Source organism: Homo sapiens, chromosome 6 (genome assembly GCF_000001405.40).
Source record: "Homo sapiens chromosome 6, GRCh38.p14 Primary Assembly".
NCBI classification, from domain to species: Eukaryota; Metazoa; Chordata; class Mammalia; order Primates; family Hominidae; genus Homo; species Homo sapiens.
Window position 1 is genome coordinate 3,327,492 of NC_000006.12, and position 25,773 is coordinate 3,353,264.

General features: G+C 46.7%; 1 protein-coding gene across 15 annotated transcripts in view, besides 2 other annotated features; it reads right to left on the bottom strand.

Moving 5' to 3' along the window:
• Positions 1 to 25,773, bottom strand: part of SLC22A23 (solute carrier family 22 member 23) — a 188,078-nt gene that overhangs the window by 58,519 nt on the left and 103,786 nt on the right. The gene's annotated exons all lie outside the window — the stretch shown is intronic.
• Positions 13,697 to 14,420: an enhancer, noted in NCBI's record as "OCT4-NANOG-H3K27ac hESC enhancer chr6:3341422-3342145 (GRCh37/hg19 assembly coordinates)". NCBI's record gives its function as "activates a minimal SCP1, AML or CMV promoter by ChIP-STARR-seq in naive H9 embryonic stem cells {active_cell/tissue: H9 hESC(naive)}" and the evidence as "EXISTENCE:reporter gene assay evidence [ECO:0000049][PMID:30033119]".
• Positions 21,672 to 24,532: an enhancer, noted in NCBI's record as "VISTA enhancer hs1391". NCBI's record gives its function as "enhancer in: midbrain (mesencephalon)[7/9] | forebrain[7/9]" and the evidence as "EXISTENCE:transgenic organism evidence [ECO:0001131][PMID:17130149]".

A 25,773-nucleotide genomic window follows, 5' to 3' on the forward strand; every position in this document is an offset into this window, starting at 1 on the left:
TCAAGTGGCCAGCATGTAGCACTTCCACTGCTGTGGTTAAAAGCCTGGACTCCGTAGCTAGAGTGCCCAAGTTCAAATCCTGCTCCTGGTACATAGAAGCTGTGACCTTGGTTCAGTCAGTTAGGAGTTCTGTGCCTCAGTTTTTTTGTCTGCAAAATGGGGTGTTGTGAGCACTAAACAGCATATAGTGCTAGAACATAGGTGCTATGTGTTACAATCTCGTGCATTATTTTTCCAGATTTTGGAATACTTGCATATACATAACGAGATATCTTGGGCAAGGGACCCAAGTCTAAAAACAAAATTCATTTATGTTTCATATAAATCTTATATACATAGCCTGAAGGTAATTTTATATGAGATTTTGAATAATTTTGTGCATGAAACAAAGTTTTGACTGAGACCCATCATATAAGGTCATGTGTGAAATTTTCTACTTGTGGTGTCATTTAGGTGCTCAAAAAGTTTCAGATTCTAGAGCATTTCAGATTTCAGATGTTCTGATTAGGGATGCCCAACCTGCATAACAATATAATTATTGCCAAGTCGCTCATTGGTCTCATTCGACATGGTGAGATCCTGTCTCTAAAAAACAACCAACCAAACAAACAACCGTTACTTTTCCCCTAACACCTTAATGAAGAATGCTTACAAGCTACTCTTGGCAACTAGATATACTTTGTCGATAAGCAGAGAGATTACTGAGGGTTGTGAGAATGAAACAGTACGTAGCTGAGACTGAACTGAGGCATTTGTTTAGTGAATCAACAGGGACCATGACTAAGTCTGAGCACAGAGGCCGCCCGGAGGCTTTGATAGAAAAGTGGCATTGTTAGGAGGCCACAGCTCTGGGAGATACGCTTTTCGGAAGTCGTCAGATTCTTACAAATTTTCAGGAGGAAAAGCACATTGCGCTTCCCAGGGTAGACACTTTATGTGACGGAGGAGGAAGGCCTGAGGGAGTGGGGTGTGGGGGTTTGATGTGTCACGTGGCGGGGCTGCAGTCTTAGGCATTTGCTCAAACAGGAACCCCGGTGCTGCCAGGAGAGAGCTGACTTTGAGCGAGGGGCTTCTAGATAATTTGGGTGGGTCTCGCCTCATCTGTTGAAAGACCTGAACATAGGGCCGAGGCTTCCTTGAGGAGGAAGAAGATTCCACCTGTGGACGGCAGTGCCCGCCCCCATGCCCTGGAGTCCTGATGGCTGGCCCTCCCGCTGGCCCCTCATGGATGTCAGCCTGGCCACCCCTCACAGTCGTGTGGGCCAATTCCTCGCAGAAAATCTCTAAATATCTCCTGTTGTTTCCTCTTCTCTGGTTGAACTCTGAGGCGGAGGTCAGGAGGTCCTGCCCATCACACAGGCTCACACGAGGCCTCCCGTGAAGCCCATCTCCGAAGCTGCACCCCCTCCCTCCCCTTCTTACTCCCCACTCTCTCATCCTGTCCCTGCTTCTCTTCCCCGGCCAGCCTGGACCAGGTCCCAGCCTCACAGGGCACTGCCAAGCTCAAGGGACCGTCTGTCAAAACACTGCAGCACCCAGGGAGGAGCCCCAGGGAGCACGCAAAGGTCCGAGCTGTGCTACTGAGCAGGGCTTGGCCCCAGCTCCAGCGGCTAAGGCATCTGCCCACCAGAAATACCAGGGGTGGCCAAAGTTTTAACATTCTCCCCCCACCTCCCTCATCCCCCACAAACACACACACCGATCTAACTGTTCATTGGATTCAGTGATTATAAATAAAATTTTAAAAACCTTTTGAAGCCAATCTTTGAAAAAAAAAGGCCCATCCTCCCATAATGCACAAATGAATAAAACACAACACTTATTCTTCCTTAAATACGTTTAAGAAACTCTTGAATGCTTATGACCATAGAGAGAATATACATTTTCTTGGGATTGCTAAGTGCTCCTGGCTTCTCTGAAATGAGAGTACAGGATTTTTCTGGACTGGAGTTGGCAAGTAACAAAGGAATATATTAAGTTGACTGACAATACTTAAGCCAGAGGACAGGAATTCACAGAATTGTGCCCGCGGAACAAAGCGTGCCATGCAGGGTATGGGATGAGGCGCCCGCTCTGGCCTAGAGGTGGGGGTTAGATTCCTCCCCGGCCTCTGCTGGGCGGTGTGAAGTTACTCAGCCGCTCTGAGCCTGTGTCCTTGCAGCCAAGGTAGGTAACGATCGTACCTACCACATGAGGTGGTCATGAGAAAACGACACTCACGAAGCACTCGAGCGCACCTGGCTCATACTGAAGCCACGGAAGGCTTCCTATGTGTCGCTGGCCTCACAGACATGAGGCCACCCTGCTAAGCTGCCCCGGGCACTCTGCAGGCCCAAGGCCACTCTCGGGACAGGGCAAGTCTGCACAACTCACTGGCAGAGGGAGGTGAGACGGGCTCAGGAAAGGACAGCGTCTGCCCACACTGCTCAGGCTCCTAAATTAAACACAATTCCTGGAACAGGCCTGCGGAACGAGAAATCCTTCCAGAGGCCACTGCTGAACGGCCCGGCCATCCTCTCCCAAGGGGAAGCCTCTGCGAAGGCCGACTGGGCCACTAGGACACCGGGGCTTGGGGATCCCACCGCCCTGCCCAGCCCCAGAACACACAGGATTCAAAGAGGCCACTTCTCCAAACCCGCTGTCCTTACAAGTGGATCACCCCTCTCCTCCCCTCTCCCAGCCCTCCTCCATCATCCAATAGACTAGAAGCCCATTTCCACCAGCAGCGGGAAAATGTGGAAAGGAAGGAGGTGCAGTTTTCTCAACAGAGACTGGAGGGCTGGCCATGCTGCCTGCCTCGCTGGGCTTCCACCAACCTGGTTCAGGCTTGGCCCTAAGCTGCTGACACCCACCTGGAGACCACCACAGTCCTCTGAAGACAGCCCCATCATCCTGGACTGCGCCCCTCCCTGGCAAAGTGGAGAACTGCAGGGAGCTTCCTCTTACTCGCTGGCCTCACCATCTCCCAGACCACCATGCGAGCCTCTCTCCTCTTCCCTGCACCCTCCCTCCTTCCTGTCACTCCCCAAGTGGGCCTGGAAGTGAACACACCACTCAATAATTACTGCCACAGGCAAGGACGCATGGCCCCCAGAATCCTGGAAAATAGACTTTGGGACATGTGATTGTGGAATTCCTTATTATAGCAGAAGGGCCTGAAATTGCCAGTCATGGAGACCCAAATAGCATTTGAGGGTATTCCTGTAAAAGCTTGCCATTACAGCTCTACATCTCCCCTTCCGCGTGGAAGGCGTCCTCTTTCCTCTTAACTTAGGATCTGCCAACCCAAAGTAATGGTCAGAAGAATCTGAAAGAGTAGTTTTCTCCATTTAGAGAAAGGGAAAATTTTAAAAAACAGAGAAATTTTAAGTATTTCTTACAAATCACATTCCAGTGTCTGCCAGACATGTAGACATAGGCATTAAATGCTCAAATGCAGAAATACTGAATTAACTACCAATTGAATACCTATCATGTCTGCACTACTAGGCGAAGTAACAGCTCTCACTTGCTGAAAGCTAAATGCTTTGGGAGGTATTTTTCCTGTGTTAAATTCATTTAATCTGCACAATGACTGTATTATGTAGGTATTGTTTTTAATGCTCATTTTACATGAGAGGACCCTGAAACTCAGGGTGATTAAGGGACTGGTCCAAGATCCCACAGTTAAGAAATAAACAAGATGGGAGCTGAAGCCAGCTTCCCCTGTATTACCCCATATCTCTGCTGCAGGCAGAAGCTATCTTCAGGTATGGCCTCCTCTGTGCCCCACCAGAATCTAAGCTCCAAGGAGGGAAGGGCTTTTCAGGTTTTGCCTACTGCTGCTCCTCAGAGCCTAGGACTGTGCCTGACACACACCAGAAGCTCAGATACTTGTCGCATGAATAAATGTGAACATTTTTTCCTCCCTAGTTCAGTCACTTTACCAGTGCCCCCCAATCAATTATAGTCACCATGGAAGAGACTGGCCAGTGACTCTGTAGAAGCTGGCCCGGCACCCTACGTGGGAACTCATCAAAGTCCACATCATGGTTCTATATATTTATATGTGGATAATAATTTGAGGAAAATCAACCATAAAACCAAACATGAGCCACAGAGTTCAGTTTCTTTTCAGATTTTACTACCTTCTGTTTTTTCTTTAAAACTAACATTATAATGACTCAAATGAGGAACAGGGATTTGAATGCTCAGCAATCTCTTCTGTGTAAAAACAAAGACTGATGCTCAGCAGCACATGCTTAAGAATTTAAATTAATGACACTTTCAGTCTCCTAGTATTTAAAAACAGCAGAGAAAGCCAAGGAGAGGAACGACTTCAAACATCAGAATCCCCTCCCATCCACTGGAATTCTTTCCTTTCAGGTCTGTTGTTCATTGTCAAGCTAACTGAAGGAGCAGAGACGGGACAGGGTGGCTTTAAGGTGGAGAGCACAGCTTACCACCCAGGTTTTCCAACAACCAGTTCCAAAGTGACAATTCCCAATCCTCAGTTTTTCTGGTGCTATCCATTCTACGGATCAAAATCATACGCAGTGAGTGACCATGTTTGTAGAATTATATCACGCTTTTGAGCAAATGGAGCCTCACAGGCCTTCAGATTTGAAACCTCCGAGGCATGTGGCCAAACAGCCGAGCCCTAAATTACTTCAAGCTCTGTCCCATAACAGCATGCTCTCAGTTCCCCAGCTGTCGGAGGGCAGGGAAGATGATCTGACTTTTATTTCTCATCATCAGTGTCATCATCAATTGTCATTATTTTATGAGCTTGGCAAGCAATCAGGGAATCAGGGGCTGGGCGTATGGTAAACAGAATAGATCTCAATACCAGTTCACAGCATCACTACTGTGTGACATCTAGTAATAGTAAATATATTTTACTCTTTGGCATAATACTTCTAAATAGAGAAGAATTATTAGCAACTTAGTCTTTCCAAGTAAGTCTTCTTTTCTCTTCTTCTCTCATTTTCCCATCTTCTCTTGCATCTGGATTTAAAAACACTTTTCTTTTGAATGTTCATATATTCACAAAGAAGAGAGAATCATGTCATGAATATTTTGGATATGTTGCCCTTTTGGTTCTTCTGCCTCTTTCCCTCTCTTCTCTGTAATATTTTAAATCAGATTCCTGAAATCATGTCATTCTACTTTTAAATACAAATATGTCTCTCCTAAAAAAGACATTTTCACATCTAACAAAATTAACAATAATTCTTTAATATTATTCAATATCTAGTCTGTGTCCAACCTACTCAATTACTTCAAAAAAGTCTCTTTATAGTTTTTTTTTTAAATCAGGATCCAAACAAGATCCACATATTACATATCTTAATTCTCCTTCAGTCTAGAGCAGACTTCCCCCGACCCTCTTTCCCCATGGAACTTGAAGAAACCGCTGGTTTTATGTGACTGTCCCGTGATGTCGTTCACATGTTCCTTCATGCCCTGGTTTAATCTCTAAACTGGAAGCTCCACCTAATGTCTGGTGAGACCCAGGTTCAGGTTTTTGGAAGAGCGTATCGCAGCTGGTGCCTGTGCGTCACGGTGCTGCCCCGCAGGAGGTCACCTACTGGGAATGACGCTACCACTGACCCATGGAGCAAAGCGGCGGCGCCTCAGCCTCCCATCCTAGAGTTGTTCACCAACATTTTCCCTAAAGGTTTTGTAGGGAGTGCAAAATGGTGATCTGATTTTCTAATTCCATCCTTCACTGTATACTGTTTTCACCTTGAATTACTTTGGAAGGAAGAACTTGTATTCAGCAACAAGGGCCAGCTCTTTGCCCTGAAATACGGTCAGTTCAGAAGAGGCAGCATCATAAAATCACAATCACTCTGGGTGATAGCTAATTTCACACCACACGTGCCCCTCCAAGGGCTCCTGTTCCACTCAGAGTGAAAGCAAAGTCTTTCACAGTGACCCATGTGATTTCCACCCCTCCCGCATCCCTCAGACCACATCACCTGCCCCTCCCCGCCCCATCGCTCCACTTCAGCCACACTGGCCTCCCTGCTGCTCCTCTAACCCAGCAAGCACACCCCCCTTCTGGGCTGTGCACTCCCCGTCTGTCCTCCCCAGGGAGTTGCATATCTCCCTCCTCCTTTTCTCAGGTCTCTAAGAGCCATCTTGCCCAGAAGCTTTGCCCTGACCATGCTATATAAAATAGTAATCCCTGCCCTCTTGCTTCCCCATGTTGCGACCACACAGAGGAGAGTGCCTCCCCGACAGTGGTTTGCAAGTGTGGCCCCAGACCTGCAGCAGCAGCCTCACCTGGGGCCACCACCTCAGAAACACAGAGTCGGGGCCCTTCTCAGTCCTACTGTATCAGAAACTGAGGCTGGGAACAGCAATCTGTGTCAACAAGCTGTGCAGTAATTCTGATGCTGGCTCCAGCTGAAGAACCACTGCAGTATACTTTGCAAATATTAGCCACTGAATCCTCCTCATAAGCGGATGAGGTTGGGAATGGTGATGCTGCTGCTTCAGGGAACACCCTTTGAAAAGCAGTGTTCTGAACACTGAAGAGTTTTATACATCTCAGCCCTGAGATCCTATAATTAATTTTTCCATTGTAGCATTAGCATATTAAAAATAAAACAAAGCTAAGCTGCTTTAGAGTTTATAACACCTATTGGCCTACTGGCCTTGGGGTAACTGGATGTTGGCTGTTTTTATTTTTTTATTTTTGAGATGGAGTTTCACTCTTGTTGTCCAGGCTGGAGTGCAATGGCACAATCTTGGCTCATTGCAACCTCCACTTACTGGGTTCAAGCTATTCTTCCGCCTCAGCTTCTTGAGTAGCTAGGATTACAGGCACCTTCCATCGTGCCTGCTAATTTTTGTATTTTTAGTAGAGATGGGGTTTCACCATGTTGGCCAGGCTGGTCTTGAACTCCTGACCTCAGGCGATTCACCCGCCTCGGCCTCCCAAAGTGCTGGGATCACAGGCATGAGCCACTGCGCCCAGCGTAGATGTTGGCTTTTTAACCAACAGCAGGCATGTGACTTTTTTTTTTTTCAATGAAAAAAAAGAGTTCTTCCAACACCCAAAGGGCAAGGCAGGCAGAAGCACAAGAAACCTGAAGTTGCAAAGAAATTCAAAATTTCTCAGCCTATTTCAGATAAAAGGAAACTCAGAGAACACCCACCACGGTTGGCAGAGTCAAATGCTAGGCAGATAAGGAACGTGTGAAGCCCGCCGGGTGCTAGGGGCGGAGCCTGTGGCACATCGCCCGGTGCTTGCCCAGTTTAAAGGCCTTTAAATTCAATTAGAAAACAAAACACTGTCTAGGTCACACAGAACATGAGCAGGGTCAGGGACTGACTGCACACTGCCAGTCTGCAGCTGCTGATCCTTGTCCAACCTGCTTATTTTATTCAAGGGGAAAATAAGGTCACAGAGTTAGTTGGTAGCAAAAGCAAATTGTGATTTCCACACCAGGGGCTCTCCGGGCCTCTCACCATATTGCCTTTGGAGAATACAAGTCCCTAGGATTACTTTTGGGTTTTTGTAAAAATGGAGATTACAATAAAAAGAAAAGTTGAGGCTGATAGAACGTACAGCAGTTAAAATCAGCTTCCTCCTCCTCTACCAAATCAGAAAATCCTTTCGTGTTCTAGTCAACATAATGGCACCAGCTAATGAAACAAAGGGTCAGATCAGGCCATCAACTGGAAAGGGGTTTTCAAGAAACAGGTCTGTGATTGAGGAAAATACTAGCAGGTGGGAGCAGTAAGAGGTCTTCCTCTAAACCCAAGCAAAACGGTGCATTCTCAGCAGCGGCGGAGGCTCCGAGGCCTTCTAACACCCCATGCCATCTTGCTCTGGTGCCATCTTGTTCTTGGGCCATCTTGTTTTTGACAGAGCTTGTCTCACACAGTGTCTGCCTTTGAATTTCCTGCCCACGTGGACAGGGCCATGAGGACTCTAACACTACAGAATGCTAGTTCTCAGCCAAGTCCTGCACAGGGAATTTAGTGACAGCATCCTCCCTGAGTCTCAGCCATCTCTGGGGTGAATTCCTCTCGCCCCATGTATCAGGTGGGGACAAGGCCTCAGTGAGCAGGGCTCTCACATACCCCACAGGTGACTCGACAGGTCACACTGCGTGTATCACATGCATGCCCTGCTGCATGCACAGCTTGGACTGGCAAATAGATGCTAAGCTGGGGGCTCTTCTTTCCTGGGGGCTCCATCTCTCCCTCCAGTTCTATAGATTGGTGCCATTATTTTTAATGGCAAAAACCGTAATTACTTTTGCACCAACCTAATAAGATATCTGAGTTTATAAATGAGCTGACTGAAATCTGGACTCAGGCCAGGTGTGGTGGCTCACGCCTGTAATTCTAGCACTTTGGGAGGCCGAGGCGGGCGGATCAAGAGGTTAGGAGATCGAGGCCATCCTGGCTAATACGGTGAAATCCCGTCTCTACTAAAAATACAAAAAATTAGCCGGGCGCGGTGGCGGGCGCCTGTAGTCCCAGTTACTCGGGAGGCTGAGGCAGGAGAATGGCGTGAACCCAGGAGGTGGAGCTTGCAGTGAGCCGAGATGGCGCCACTGCTCTCCGGCCTGGGCGAAAGAGCGAGACTCCATCTCAAAAAAAAAAAAAGAGAGAAATCTGGACTCTTCTCCTAGGAGTGCCTGCTGGAAGTTGTAGAAAATGCACACACACAGATTTGCACCTCACCTAACTCAGCAGTTAAGCAAATGTTTCCCAAGAAGGTGGGAGGCTGCGAGTCAGAATGTGTGTGTGATCATCCACTTGGGTGGCGGGAAGGAGGAGACAGCACCTCCATGCCACGCCCACATTGTTCTCACCTGGACTGCCATAGTCGCCTGTGACCAGGGCTTTTGCTACCAAAGAGTTCTTCCCTTTAATCCATCTGACATCCTGCTGGCAGGTTACTGCCCCTAAAGCCCAGCTCTGTTCTATTTCAATACTGCTAAAAATGCTACGTCAGTCCAAATTCTGAGCCCACCAACCATGGTCCTCCATGATTTCGTCCCAGGCCTATTCCCCTTCTCACAGGCTGCTCTTCTCACATAACTCAATGTTCCTGGCAAGCCAGGTGGCTGCAAGCCCTACACTGCCACAGCAGCGAGCTCCTTGAAAAGGAAAACCACTCTGTCACCTGTGTCCTTCCTAACGTCTAGCATTGTATTCAGCACTTACCAGAGGCTCAACACGCCCTGAATCAGACCACAGAAATCAGACCACAGAAATCAGGCACAACTTCCATGTGGAAATTTATTACCCAATGTGTTCAGCTAAGAAATTGAGTAAATTAAGAAATAACTGTAGTAGGCTTTTTTTTTTTTTTTTTGACAAGGTCTCCCTCTTTTACCTAGGCTGGAGTGCACTGGTGTGATCACAGTTCACTGCAGCCTTGACCTCCTGGGCTCCAGTGGTCCTCCCACTTCAGCCTCCCACTTCAGCGTCCCTATAGCTGAGACTACAGGCACATGCCACCATGCCTGGCTGATTTTTAAAATTTATAGTAGACAAGGTCTTGCTACATTGCCCAGGCTGGTCTTGAACTCCTGAGCTCAAACAATCTTCCTACCTCAGCCTCCCAAAGTGCTGGAATTACAGGTGTGAGCCACCACTCCTGGCAGACTAGCTTTATTAAGCATATTTACACAAGGGCATGAGCATCCGTCATGAATGTAGCCTCTGAGGGCTCTGCGCTAAACACAAATGCAGAGTTCCTCAGGGCTGCTTCAACCACAGGAGAGCCAGGAGGCCTGTTTGTTGGAGCAAATCGCCAGCCCACCCCACACAGTTGCACTCAGTGACTATGTGTGCCTAAGGCGGAGGTGCCATTTACAGAGCTGCCAGTGGTGCTGCTGGGGAGAGTGGTGAGTATTCAGGGAGGCCTTGTAGGTGCCAGGTACTGGGCACAGTGCCTTTTATCATCTGCACAACAAGCTCTGTGTTAAGTGTTACAATTCCCTTTTTTTTTTTTTTTTTAAATCCTGCCTTGTCCTGCCCCCAGTGTTAACATTCTTATTTGAAGCTTGGGAAAAACTAATTCATTGACTCCCATAAACGCAGTTAGCAAAAGGAAGAGCTAGATTTCAAGCCCAGGCTCCTGCAGAGCCCTGGTGGGAAGGTAACAAGAGGCAACAGGGCAAGGACCCGGGCAAGTCTTTCCTGTGTACCATGTGCTCGGGCCCCACCGAGGGCAAGGACAGCCTGGTGTGGCGACAGGCTCGCAGAGGCCACAGGCTGGGCTCGGCCTTGGTGATCCACGAGGACTCCCTCAGATCCTGGGTTTTCCAATTCGTGAAAGGAATGTGGAACAAGATCAGGAAGTTGTGAAGGGGCTCAGAGTATGTCATCTTGAAATATGCAAATATGCTACTTTCGCATAAGGATTATTTTGAGTTGAAGGCAATTGGAGAAAGAGCAGATGCAGGAAAAGCTCTCTACCCACCTTTCTGCTTAGAGGCAGGGCACAAATTTCCCTTTGTGAAGTTGTCACCCCCAGACTCCCTCCCTTCTCCCACAGGAGCAAGAGGAAGTGAGATGACTCACCACTGGGGACACTACCGACTTGAATCTGCATAAACAAACCTCACGAAATAGCCCCGTCTTCCATCAGTTTCCCCCATATATTTACCGTCCCACAATTTACTGCTCCTAGAAGCCCGAAGCCTTTTCCTTTGTCTTGTCATTTCTCAAATCATGTATTGCTTTCTGTTAAAATGGTATAGAAGCTCTTAGGCTTAACCATTTCCTTGGGCTTTCATTTCTTCTGTGAGATTCCCCTGTACATGTAAAAATTAAAATATTGACATCAAGTGCAAGTATGGCCTTTTCTCCTGTTAATCTGCCTTTATTTCTTATTTTTTGAGACGGAGTCTCACTCTGTTGCCCAGGCTGGAGTGCAGTGGTATGATCTTCGCTCACTGCAACCTCCGCCTCCCGGGTTCAAGTGATTCTCCTGCCTCATCCTCCTTAGCTGGGACTACAGGCGCATGCCGCCATGCCCAGCTAATTTTTGTGTTTTTAGGAGACAGGGTTTCACCATGTTGGCCGGGCTGGTCTTGAACTCCTGCCCGCCTTGGCCTCCCAAAGTGCTGGGATTACAGGCGTGAGCCACTGTGCCTGGCCTTAATCTGTCTTTAGTCAGTTTTATTGGCAGGGTCCCAGGTTCTAAACCTAAAAGGGTAGAGGAAAACATTTTTTCTTCCCTTTTAGTTGCATCCTTAAAGTTTTACCACTTCATAATTATGTGATAATGTTTGTAATAAAGAGAACAATGCTATTAGAGATTTAAAAGCCTATACAGAATTAAACGTGGCAGCACTGAGTTTAATTATGTAAGATGATGTCACCTTTGGGGTTTCTTGCTCTTGTCTGAGAACATTAGCTCCTTCTAGTCTAGAACCACTATTCCATCAACACTGACCAGATGGGGAACATGGAGCAAGAGAGGTCCAAAGGAGGTACCCAGGAAGCCCCAACGGAGAAAGTAACCCCAAGACTGAAGCCTGAGCAATTTGGTGGAGGTGCCAGATGAAGAGAGGATGTGTGTGTGGAGAGCACAGAGCTGCAGAGGGAAGAGCAGGGTCGAGGGGAGGGAGGAGCCAGTCATTTCTTAAGTGATGCAATAGCTCTGTGGCTATTATTGCCATTGCAGCTGAAATCCATGTCAGCCTCCTACCAATCAGGATTTCGTATCCTTTAAAACTCCTCTTCCAACTTTAATAAAAATTAAAACAGTGTGCTTTCCCCCACCCCCAATCTGATAATCCACCACCAGGCACACAGGCCTTAGATGAAGACAGATGGTGATCTGTCTTCAAAGACTTTGTCAAGCTTTGTTACAAAGCTTTTTGTTTTCTGTTCATTCCCCAGGTGCAGCTGAGTTCCCAAGCCCTGGTCCTGTCCCTCCTGGGGTGACAGCCTCCACTTTCCAATTCATAATGTCAGAGGCATGTGAGCCAGAACAACTCCATCTTAAACAGGAGCTGGGTAAAATGAGGCTGAAACCTACTGGGCTGCATTCCCAGATGGTTAAGGCATTCTAAGTCACAGGATGAGACAGGAGGTCGGCACAAAAGGCAGGTCATAAAGACCTTACTGATAAAACAGGTTGCAGTAAAGGAGCCGGCCAAAACACACCTAACCCAAGATGGCCACAAGAGTGACCTCTGGTCGTCCTCACTGCTACACTCCCAGCAGCGCCATGACGGTTTACAGATGCCATGGCAACGTCAGGAAGTTACCCTATGTGGTCTATAAAGGGGAGGCATGAATAATCCACCCCTTGTTTAGCATATCATCAAAAAATAACCATAAAAAAGGGCAACCAGCAGCTTTTGCGGCTGCTCTGTCTATGGAGTAGCCATTCTTTTATTCCTTTACTTTCTTAATAAATTTGCTTTTACTTTGCACTGCGGACTGGCCCCGAACTCTTTCTTGGGTGAGATCCAGGAATCCTCTCTTGGGGTCTGGATCAGGGCCCCTTTCCTGTAACAATAATGGCTGAGGAACATCTGAGCCTCCTTATGTAAACATATGAAATTAAAAATGTGTCCATGAGAATACAGCTTCCCTCCTCTCCTCTCCCCACAGGGGAGGTGCTTCCTAGCCCAGAGAGCGCTCCCACAAAAGCGGTATTATCCAGGAGGGATGGCCTGGAGAAGGGAATGGTAAGGGCAGGGGCTTTGAAATTGGTTGGCATTTCCATTTTCCAAGTACCAGCTATACGAATGACATTGAGCAAGAGGCTTAACATGCTTATGACTCTCTTATGAATGGCAAGAGGTACTATCTGGAAGAAATGTTTGTCAGAGTCAAAGAAAGTGATGATATAAGGTAAAACGCCCGCCGGTCACATTCTCTCTAGGGCCTTCAAACAGCACGTTAGTATAATAATTCAGGGACACATTTAAACAGCCCTGTGGGCTGGCCTGGGGACCCATACGTAACCGCAGCAGAGTCTATGACAAATTGCCCCTTTAGTTCCAGGTAACCATGAGATAAATGAACTTTTGTAAAAGTTGATAATTCTTGCAAAAGTTGGGAACATCTTGCATAAGAACGGCAACTTGGAAAGTGACTCGATTTCTAACCACAGTATGAGGAGCTTTGTAACCGATCCTTTGTGTAAAGGCCAAAAACGATTTTCAAGGTCCCATGTGAAAAAGCAGGAGACAATTGCCGTAGCAAATTTATAAAGTGACAGAGTGCGGCCCTTATGGAAAACAGATGGGGCTACTGGGAAAAGGGCAGCCGCATGACGTGCTAGAGACATGAGAACCGAGAGACTGTCCTTAGGTACTTGTGGGTTTTGATGGGATCTGTCTGGAAAGGATACATTTACCATTTGGGAAAACAGAAACCAGGGCAATATGAGTTTACAGGAATGATATTTAAAGGACTCATGTCTTCAAGCTTATGCTCCTTCTTTCAGGATCAGGTTGAATGAGGAGGGGCCGGTCTCTCATGTTACACATAACCTTTGGCATTCCCATCACCAATGCCTGCTATGGCACCTTCCCCTCCCTTCACAGGGTTGAAGGTGGCCTGCTGTGAAGTCAGGGGTCACATGGCTCCTGTGAGCTCCTGGCTCTGAAGGACACACATTCGGAACATACAGCATTTAATATAGAGAAACAATCCTCACACAGAGGTTGCTGAGAGGCTGGCCCGAGTCACAGATGACCTCAGAAGCTGTTTTGAGATTCATTGGAAAGAGGGTTTCTCAGAAAGCCCTCCCTCCGATCAAGCTGAGAGGAAAAATGTTAAATATGAAGGATTGAAATGCTAAAAAAAAGTTATGCCATTGAAGCATACTTTTTGTTGTAGTTGTTTCAAAAGATTTTGTTCCAAAAGCCTAACTTTTATACAGTGCAAGAGGCTGTTTCAAGGTGAGGTTTAGAGGACACACCTGAAACTTTTTAGAATGGCAGATGTCAGACCTCACTAGAAAACTCTGAGGTGGATGGGTTTTGTTCTCTCTCTCTCTCTTCTTCCAACTCCTTGGGTCCAGAACATGAAAACCCAGAAAAAAATCACAGTATTACTCTACTTAGGATGTGACTCTGTAGTCACTGGTTAATCACTGCTCTGGTGTTAGATGACATTCAAATGTAAATGCTGTGATTACCAAACCATCTCAGACTTCTGGGGTAAGTGTTCAGCCAGCACTTCTGATTCACGCTGGGCTGCCTTTGACAGAGTTGGCAGAAAAGAAAAGAAGCAAAAGAGAAGAAACCACACGCACAATTCATTGGTCATCTGTTGTGACCGAAGCTTCCCTGTCAAGCGAGGGGGGTGGGGGCGGGGGAGCGCAGGAAACTGAACACAAGCTGGGAATAAAATTTCAGACTGGGGCCATCCTTTCCACACCTGTAAATCCTTTAAAAGAAAAGTTAATGGATTTTAAAAAAAATCATACAACTTAAGTCTTCTTGTACTTCTTTCATTTCCTAAACAAATCCTAGGGCCCAAGTGATTATCTATATTTCGATTCATGGATAGAGGAAGACATCTGTTCAGTAGCATTAAGAAGAAAATCTTTCTTCTTAATGAAAGATTAATGAAGCTTTAATTAAGATTTCTTCTTAATGAAAGCTGCTAGTTTAGGTTCAGCAGCTCCTAAACTAGCATTTTGTTCCTCTAGGTACATACTATGGGTTTAAATTTTAGGTGTGTCTGCGTGAAAATGAAAACTTATTCTCAGTTACCGTTTTGTTTCAAGATGGAAGCCTCAATTTGAAATCCAGCCCAATGTGGTTTGCTGTTTTAAGGCCATGTGTCTCCTTAACATAACTCTTTTTCAAAAAGTCATTGGGTGGCCAACAAATTGAGATAAAACAAAATTTAAAGGAATACCTTACTTCATTTAGGCAACCGAATACTAAAATTTGAAATTCAGAATGAAGTACAGCCCCAGAAACTATGGAAGTGAGGCCACTAGGGTTCACGGCTCACCTCCTTTGAAACACACACACCTCTTTCTCTCTCCCAGTCTGCAGAGGTCCCTGAAAACAGTGCTTCTCAAAGGTGGGGCCTCCTTGACCCACAGCATCAGAGTCCCCCGGGGCCCTGAGCCCAGATTCCCAGAAACAGATGCTTTCCAGATGGAGCCCAGGAAGCCAGTAGATGGGGGGTCCAGGAGATTCAAACCTTGAGGAGCTTTTGCCGTCAAATGTCAGCAAAATTGCTGGGATTTCTCATCTGCCTGAAACTGCCATCGTACAAATAACACCTTCACATTAGTGCTGGGGATGAAAACCTTTTCCTCCACCCTCCTAGGGTCAGTGCTTGGGGCCTGTGAATTAAACTGACAAAAGACAGGCTGGCAAGAGGAAAGACAAAGTTTAATCACATATGTATACCGGCAGGAGAGTGCAAAAAATGGCTCAGAGAAGAGGTTGGAATTTGGGGCTTTATATACCATCCTAATGCAGGGAAGGGGTTAGGATTTCAAGAGACAAGAAATAGTGGGAAATGACAGAGAAATACACGGGGGAAATAATATAAGAGAAGGTTTGTTTTAGTAAGGTGTGTTTATGCAATTTCTCATCCTGCATCAACTTCTCATCTTCACCTCTGCTGGGAGAAATCTCCCTTAAAGGGGGATTTATGACAGTTGAATTCTTCGGGAAAGCTCTGTTTCTAGGTAGATGGGGGAGTTCCGACAAAGCTGCGTCCTGCATCTGCTGGTTCTCAAATGCTGTCAGCTCACAACAGTCCTTATGGCCAGTGGCATATTCTGGACCACTTCAGCAGCAAACAGAGACACTGCATTTCCACATCTATTCCCAACCACACTCTTGCCTCGTAAACAAGTGCTAATCCCATTTAACAGGGAGGCCCCAAGAGGTTAGTTACCAAATAGGCCTTAGGTCATATGGTTTATAGTATCTAGGACTTGAATTCAGATCTTTGGATTTTAAACACCAGATTTATCCTTTAAGAACGAAGGAAACATCTCCAGCCCCTGCAAATACACACACACACGCACACACACACACACATCCTCATCATTTAGACATAATGTCCTCGTTTTAGACATCTTTTTTTCAATAAGACTAGCACAATTTATCACCATGACCATTAATGAGACCAGCTCTTAACAAGCTAAGCTTATCAATGAGGGCTCTCTCCCATGTTTGTCGAGACGTAATTAAATACTCAGCAGCCGGCCAAATGTCGAAAGACCCTAGGTCGCTCTTGAATTGCCCATCTATCTGCTTCTGAACATAATGACGTTGACTGATGACCTTGGGGAGCTGGCTGTATTTAAGAGAAGAGCCAATCACTGTCAAACATTGGTGCCGAACAGAGAGCAGCCCTTAAATACATACACACAAGAAGCAATGAAAAAATGTTTCATTTGGGAAAGAAGACAGAAGGCACAGGATGGCAGAAGAAGGAACTTACATTCTATAAATATTGAGAATATTTTCTCAAGTAAATTTTAGATTCGATTCGCTTATTCCTAAGTTAGAAAATATTTTAAGAGGATTTTTGCTAAGGGGAATGGTACACGAATTAGAATCTACTGTCCAGTCTCTGACAGCACTGGGGAATGCCTTGGTTTCTGTGGCTTTTTCTTCCAGAACTGCATTGTCCAATACAGTGGTCACATATGGCTATTTAAACTTAAATTAATTAAAATTAGGTACAAGTAAACCTTCAGTTCTTCAGTTGCACTGGCCACACTTCAAGTGTTCTATTGGACAGCACTGATCTAGAATCTGATGTTAACATGTCAAAATGAAAACACCTTCCTAGCATTCTCAATGACATGTAAGTAAGAAGGAGGGGAAAACCAAACAAATTTTTTAAAAAAGTAGTATTTCACATATATGGAAAAAGCATAAGAAATAATAGAGAATACCCAAAACAGCTTGGCCAAATCTCTACATGTGCCATATTCTCCTCCCCTCTTTCCTTCCCCTTTTCTAGCAGAAGCTCTACTGGATCCCTTTGATGAGTCTAAAGGGCTGTATTGAAAAGTTCAAAGGACACAAGCGGTAGTGTCTGACACGACCATGTGGTTAAGAACCTGGGCTCTGGGGCCAAACAGCCTGGGTTCTAAATTTTCTGGGAAACTAAAAGCCATTCTATAATGTTTGGGATTTCATTGAAGGTTAAAATGAAACTAATTTGTACACATAGAGTGATGTATAAAGATCCTTTTTCTGGAGGTAGAAGTGAACAGCGTGTCTTGAAAGAACCAATTCCAAACTTTAAGCATATTGAAATAAGTAAGCGTTAGGCAATCACGAACTCCTTCAGTATCACATTTTGGTCCTTATAATTTCAGAAGCAAGCTTCTTGCAAACTATCCACCTGCTGCCTCCTTAAAATGGGGTAAAGGTGCTTCTGGAGCTAGAAGCAAACACAGGAGAAAACTCATTTCTTGGCAGCACTGGCAGCCTGGGCTGAGGAAACCATCTTCCTAGTCTTGATGTTCAAGAAATTTTAAGTATCAGGAAACAAGTGGACTCCTCACTGAGCAAACTTCCTTTATACAAAGAAAGTGGCCATTTGTTGTCCAGTACTTGACTAGACAAAAGACCCACGGCTAAGACTGTAATAAATATGTCCCTATGTCTGAATGCAAAGAACAATTGGCTTTGTCAGAATTCTTAACTTTCTTTTATCTTAGTGTTACTTCTACTACATTCCCAAATTCAGTAGACTCCTAGCATCAGCATCTAGGGAATTAGCACACAGAGGTGTCTGAATAGGTACCGAGGTTCATTCAAATGACTGAGAAACGAAAGATACATGTTGAGTTTTATATAGTCCATCTCCAGTCAACTTAAGAAAACAACTTCTTAGAGGGAAAGCACTCACTTTTAAGTTACAAGGAAAGTACCAGTAGTTTATATCTCTTTTCTTTTTTTTTTTTTTTTTTTGAGACAGAGTCTTGCTCTGTCACCCAGGCTGGAGTGCAGTGGTACGAACTGTGGCTCACTGCAGCCTCCGCCTCCTGGGTTCAAGTGATTCTCCTGCCTCAGCCTCCTGAGTAGCTGGGATTACAGGTATGCACCAACACACCTGGCTAATTTTTTATTTTTAGTAGAGACAAGGTTTCACCATGTTGGCCAGGCTGGTCTCAAACTCCTGACCTCAGGTGATCCTCCCGCCTCAGCCTGCCAAAGTGCTGGGATTACAGGTGTGAGCCACCACACCCCACCCTAGTAGTTTATATTTCTAAAAATATGGTGCCCTTCCCAGGACAAGAGGATAAGAGAAACGTGGGACTTGTATTTATATGGAATTGAGATGGTCAAATGCTTGTTGACTCAGTAATACATTTCTATCATTATGTAAAACCAAGTCTGCCTCCAAATAATCATGAAGTAGAACTGGCCTACCTGCTGCTAAGCAGATTTTGTTTTTGTTTCAGTTTTCTATTTATAACCTGCTGTACATATAGCCGAGCTTGTTTCTTATTTTGGTGTCTCCCGTTCTCCGAGAGTGTTGGCTGCTGTGGCCTTCCTTGATATTGCAGAATACACTGAGCAACATGGTACACACGCTTGCTGTCAGCTGTCATACTGCCACTAAACAGCTTCCACTTCAGCATTTGAAATGTTCCACTTACAGCCTATGAGTGATTCAGCCTGGTGCCAGTGAAACTTTTCCTGCCTTGAACTGCTCAAAGCCCAAGCAGGCTCCTGGACGTTCAAGGGCACAGACTCTCTTTGAATGTGCACGATGCCAATCTGACAGGCCAGCGCCACCTCTGCTCGGGTCCCAGCTCAACGTCTCTGCTGACCTGCTCACACGTTCATGTACCTCTAAAACCCAGCATTGCACGTCTGAAGCTGCAATCACCCCTGCCCCTCTCCGCACAAAAGCCAGCCCTTCCATCCACTTCATGTCTGTTAATGACCCATGCATTCCCTCAGTCACCCCAGGATGAGAACTGGGGGCAGCAACCCCTTCCTCCCCTGCATGGATGAAGTCCCAGTCCAGCCAGCTTCCTCCCTGCAAATCCTCTTAGTGACTGTGCACCCCATTGCCGCTACTCTGTTCCAGCTTGGGTAGGGTCCCCTCCGTATCTGCTGCCACACAGCTTACAAGGGCATTCCCAAGCAGGCAAGTGGCTCTTTAAACCCTTGTGTTGGCATTGCATTCCTGTGTCATCACATCCAGATCCTGGGCAGGCATGAAACACCTCCAGCTACTCCCAGCTGCACCATCCCACAGCCTCTTGGGAGTCCATGGGAGCTGTGCCCATTCCCTGGCCATCCCTCAGACCCACCTTCCACTTGGTTCCCTGTCATGCCTTTGCTCAGCTCAGTCCTACTAGAAATAGTCTGCCCTTGCTGACACCCAGGATGAATTCTAACCTAGGACCTGGCAAAGCTGTCTTGGGTCAGGGCACACATATAACACAGAGCATATACCCCCTAGTAGCATCTAAAGGACAACATACATACATTTTAACTTTTCACATTAAACAAAGATACTATGGGAATTCCCTGAAAATACAGACATATGTATTAAGGGAATCACCAATAACCCAAACACCCAGTGTTCATATTTTAGTATATTTCCTCCCAATCTTTCACAACGTTTTTTTTTAAATGGTTATCAGTTTGCTTTTGTTATTTTACATTATGTTGCACACATTTCCCCAAGTCATTAACTACCCCCACGCTGTGATGTCCTGTGAGTGCCCGAAGTTTGACCGTGCAGCCACGCCACTCATGGACTTAACCCCTCGCATCACTGCGGGACATTCAGCAGCTTCCTATTTTGTACGGTTGCGTTGTCTTACACGCACATGCATCTGTCCCCCCAACTGGACCCTAGCGTTCTTGTGGGCCATGTCCTTCTCTCACACTTCCTCGCACCCCTCAGGATGGTGAAGAGCTGACACAGAGAAGACTCTGGTGAGTGTTGGCGGCTGACCTGAGCAACCAACCCCCAACATTGGAGCATCATCACGGCTGACCTCTGAGAGCTGAACTGCACAGGAGAATTTAACTACACCAGGAGCACTTAGTCATTCCTTCCCCTGGGTAACAGGAGGCAGGGCCCAGCCATGCAATGAACTGCCAAATGCCTCAGGTATCTGCTTGATCTCTTGGGTCTCCTAAGCTGCTTCTCTCCCAGCCTCCCTCTCTCATTCATCGCTCGTGTTGGCTACCTCCTGGTTCTTCTCAATGGTCTTCTCTTTCTCCTCCTACTTTACATTTTCTGATCTATACTTTTTAGCATAAAAATCTGATTTTTTTATGACTTCATATTGAATTTTTTAAAAGTCTGATATTTTCTCATTATTCCTCTAATCTCCACTGGAGACTCACTTTATGCACAAGATTCCTGAGTCTTTGGCTTGGCATAGGAGGTCCTACACAGTCTGCCCTGCCCTCAGGCTGTGGCCAAGAGCCCTTCCTTCTACTGCTAAAGATGAAGCTCTGCCCAGCATCGGGAGGTGTGCGGCTGTTGCCCCAGCCTGGACGCCCTCCTGTCTCTGCGTGGTGATGTGTCATCATGGAGGCTTTTGCTCTCCACTCCTTCATCTAACTCAGGCCTCACTGGCTCTCTTATCTCACTGCAGGCTTCTCCTTCATGGCACCTGTCCCAGCTGTGGGGGACACACTTATCTAGTTACCTGCATGCTGTGTGTCTCCTGCTCTGGAAGGCTCCAGGAGGAAAGAGACATTCTTTTTGTTTTCTTCAGTCCCAACCCTCTAATCCTTGGTGCCTGCACGTTCCACGATTCCATGCTTGGGGACGGAAGGATGTGGGGATGTGGGGAAGTGAGGAAGGGAATTGGTTTCTGACCATGGCCTGGAACAGCTACTACAACGGAGGGGTCTGGCCTCTGAACCAAAGCCTAGGCGCCATCTTTCCTGGAGCAGGAGCTGTATTTTTCTACAAGCTTCTGTTTTCTCTTCTTACCTGAGCTTTGGGTGACTTGTGGCCATCTGCTCAGAGTGACAATAGCAGTCTGCATTGTGTTTATCTTGCTCTCAGTTTCTTTATTTAGCAAGGCCACTGTCTTCTTACTGAGTCCCATCTGCACCTAAGTGAGTGCACACTATAGAATCCGGCCCTGTTGATGGAAAAATGCAGCCCACCATTCGGCACTTACTAGCCTGGCAATCACACGAGCATCCACCACATTCCCGGCACGGAGCTGGGTGTGGTGCCCTTCCCAACTCCTAGGACCTGACCCACCCAACACCTGAGGCCAGATACTTCACCCCTAGCGGCTGCTCATTCAACCCAAGATCCAACTAGCAAACTGTCCAAGGAAAACAGAGCTTCAAACCTTCCAGCTGCAGAAAGTCACCAAATCTTACAGCAAGCATCCTGGGTCACAAGGAGACAAACCCTTCCCAGCCAACGGACCGGGTCCCCATGACCCAGAGCCAGGGCAGGGAGGGCTTAGGAATTTAGAGGCTTTGCCTCAGAGGAGAGTCAACTGGTACTGTCTTCCCTTCCAACTGTCTCTCCAGCGTTCATCACCACTCTGGAAATAGTCATCTTTCATAACCCCTTCAGAAGAGTAAACAGTGTCTCCCTCTGGGTAAACCAGAAAGCCACAAAGCCTCCCCTGAGCAGGATGACAAGGAAGGGGGATGCTCCTCTGCTTCTGCCCTCAAGGACAGCTGCCTTTTCTGCAAACAGCTGGGTGATGGGGTGCTTCCCACTGGGGCCAACTGGCCGCGGGGCACTTCTCCCTGCTCTTCGTTCCTCCCTGCCAAAGCCTGCAGAACCCTCGAGGAAGCCTGCCCTAGCCACCAAGCAGCTCAGCACTGAGCTGGGGCTTCGGACTGGGCAGTCAGAGCCCCAAACACCTTTCTGTCTCCTACCTGTCTTTCTTCCTCCCCACTTCCTGGGGACCTAAGAGGCAGCCTCTCTCTCCCTATCCCACCTACCCGAGGACTCTTCGGCCAAATTGACTCCTACCACCAAATCCCAATGCCAACCCCGAGGCAAGCCCTGTGGCCCCTGGAGTTTCTGGAACCCTCTCTAGAATGTGGTTCAACCATAGGGCATCCCCTGCAGGCCCTGAATTATTATAGTACCAAAATATACCTTCCTTCCTCCTCCACCTCCTCACAGCCTAGTTTGCAGTTAGGCTAACCGTCACAGCTGGCATGAGCTGTTTTCATCAGATTAAAATGCATGGCCCTTCTTCCCACACACTATTGTATTTCTGTTTGGTGAAGAATATTGAATACTCAACCACCCAAGTGCTTTAAATATCACTGAATCTCAGGAGGTGGAAGAGCAGAGTGGAGAAGATGAATTATTTGAACTACTCAGAAATAAGCCTAACATGAAAGCAGGAAATTCATATGAAGTGGGCAGTGCCTCAAGCAACCTGATATCTTCAGGAAAGATAAGGTGGTGGCTTATTGCTCCCATCGCTCTCTGATCACAGACCTGGGACAGAGCACCTCTTCCAGGGCTCTTGATTCCTGTGATACACGAAGGCAGATGATCACGGTCGCCTTCATCCCCTCTTGGGGGCTAAGTACATTCACAGTCCCTTGGTTCTTGGTCTTTGTGTCCTTTGAAGCACATAAAAGTCTGGTGGATGAGTAGGACCATGGTTGATAGAAAATTATTTCCCAGTACTGCACAGCATAGTGACTCAGCATGCATGCACACACACACCCCAAATTTTCATGAAACGATACTTAACCCTTATTGTGTGTGATGCACTTAATTCTATTTTTTTCTTTAAAAATGCTGGGCAGGACCCACCCGATGGATTCTATAACCCTTAACCCAAGCCCTAATGTGTCATAAACTACAGTTTTAAAAGCTGCTCTAAAGTAGGGTTGGAAAACTATGACCCTCGGGCCAAATCCTGCTGAAGGCTGCTGTTTTTGTACAATGCACTGCCTGATTTTATTCAGCTCGTCCCTAAGAATGGACATTTTTAAATGGTTCAAGACAACCAAAAGATGAATAATATCTCTTGTGTGAAGTTTATGTGAAATTGAAATTTTAGTGTCGACAAATGCGGCTTTTGTGGAATGCGGTCACACTCATTCACCTCCAGATTGTCCATGGCTGCTGTTGCAGTAGCAGGGAGTAGTAGGTGGGGCAGAGACCGTATGGCCTGCACAGCCCAGAATATTCATGTTCTGGCCCTTTGCAGAAAACTTGGCCCATGCCTGCTCTGAAGCTTTGACAGCTGCAGGCTGGATTAACTGATCCATTCGTCAAACTGGTTGTCAGAGCCAGCATGTTTTAGTTATCCTTCAGTTTCTAACAGAAAAATCAGCATTATTACTTAAAAAATGCAAATGGTGATTTTTATTATGAGAGCAGATTCCTCAAGGGAGACGGAGTTATTTTCACATCAGAGAGAGAAAACAAATGGAATTTCTTGGTGGTAATGGGGAGCTGGTCTCACTGCCCTTCTCACTCCCATTCTGAGGTCAATCATCTTGTATCTTCAAAGGGCACTTGAATTTTTAATCATCTTCTCTTATTGACGCATTTAATTTGTGGTGAAAGAGAAAGATTTTTTTCTTAAAAAAAAAAATCCCTTTTGAATTTACTAACTTATAATGGTGAGCCTGCATTTCCTCCAGGAGAAGCAAGGCCAGGCCGATTTGAACAAATTCCACTTAAAATTCAAGAAACCCATGTGAGATGAAAAGTACCCTCAGAATGGCCACAAACAAAGACCTCATAAAAGGCTAATGCCGTTTGTATAGAATTACAGGAAAGAAAGTGAGAGCTAGAGAGGCCCTCGCAGTTAAAGCCCCCAGCTTTTGTGAGGCTCAGGCAGGATGGAAAAAAAATCTCCCTATTAGCATTCTAGCCGGATGGCCCTTTGTCCAGTGTAATCGGAGTGCGGTGGAAAATGCCAGGCAATTTAGCCTCTTAGGGTGGAAAACGAAGGGGCGAAGGAAAAGGGTTGGGGAAAAATAATCTGATGTTATCAGCTAGTGCTGGCAGAAAGACAAGTCTTGAGATTTTATGGGGTGGGGGTGGCTGAGCTGGGCAATGAACACAAATCCTGGGGGTTGCCCTGAGCGTGCCAGGCAGCGGGGAACGTTCAGCCCACAAGTACTGGACGGTCAGGACTAATGAGCAGTCATCCAGGCTCAGTCAACAGCCCTCTCTGTGGCTTCCCGCCCACCCCTCCCACTGCTCTGGAAACCTCTCTCCCCTCGACCTTTCCTGGCTTTCGCCTAAGAACACGTCACTGGCCACTTCAAAGATTCTGTAACCCATCTCCTCCCCCAGCCACACTGTACCACAGGGTGGGCCCTATGGAGCCATATTTCTGCTATTTGGTATCAAAACTGTCCCCGAGGAGACTTGCTACTTCATTCAGGACTGAGCCAGGAAACCCAGGTTTCTAATGCATTCTCATCAAATGTACATGACCCCCAGGTGAGCAGGAGGATGGGCAGCAGGGCCAAGGCCTGAGCTGCTGCAGTCATGGGGACCACCTCGAGGCAGATGGAGTTCCCATCTAGGCCACACCAAACAGGAGAGCAGGGAGGGATGCTCTGGGTGGATGACTGTCCACCACCCGACTGGTAAGGCTGCTCCGTTTCTGAAATGGGCGTCAAGGCGAAAGCACTCCATGGCCTCCCCTCCCCAGGCAGGGCTGCTGGAGTGCTGAGAGGTGGCAGAGGCCATGGCAAAACCAGGCCCACCAGGACCACAGATAAGGAAGGGAGGAACAGGGCAGGTTGTGGAAGGAGATGTGAGAGTGCCTCTTGTCCTGCTGCTCTGACAGTGAAAACCACGTACACGGACATGTACAGACACACAGACACTCACAAACATACACACACAGACATGCACACACACACACACACACAGCCATAGACACTTACAAGCATGCACACACAGACATGCACAGACACACACACACACAGCCACAAACACAAGCACATACAGACATGCACAGACACACTCACACACAGACACAGCCACAGAAGCTCACCGGCATGCATGCACAGACACACACAGACACATATTGACCCATTCACATACACGGCCACATACACACATAGGCATACTTGCAGACACACAAATACACAGACAGAGAGAAAGAGAGCAGGTGAGCACACACCAAGCCCCGGCCATAACAAAAGGGAGAAAAGGCTCTGATCTCTGCCATTCTTGTTTTTCCATCTGAAAATGAGAAACCTGCTACTGGGACTCACCTGAATCATGGAAAATGGACTCACTTGAGTCCTTAAATCATACTCTCACAGCATATGAAAACTGCCAAGCTTCCTGGAGGTCTGAGGATAAATGGTGTCGCTTACAGGTGTTCAAAAAGCAGAGAAATGACAATTCTTTAATTAATCTGAGTGAAGGAAAAGCACATAGTGCAAACCCAGAGCCAACAGCAGTTTAGAGACGCTCCCTGGATACGCATGGACAAGCCGCGTGCCCTGCAAACACCCGGGAGAAGATCAGTCGCCCCCGTGACCTGCACCTTGCTACCAGAACCCCCAGTGGTCAGCTTGTCCCAACAGGACTTTGTTGCTGAGGAACAGGGTCAAAATATGTATGAAAATACTACAGTGATTATATTCATTTTTTGCCTGAAATTTTAAGTAAGACTTTTTACCCTGTTCTTCAGCAACGACCAGACCGTGTCAAGAGATGCAAAGTCTCACCTGTGAGTGCTCCGCCTAATCTAAAATTACATGTAAGTATTATTACTTCCCTGCTCACAGGAATAATCTGTTATTCTTGGAGATTTTGAAGGCAAGATGGCAAAGGGCCATAAAAGGCACATAACTGTGGGCCTTTACCTGGCTGCTTAAACCAAAACCTGGT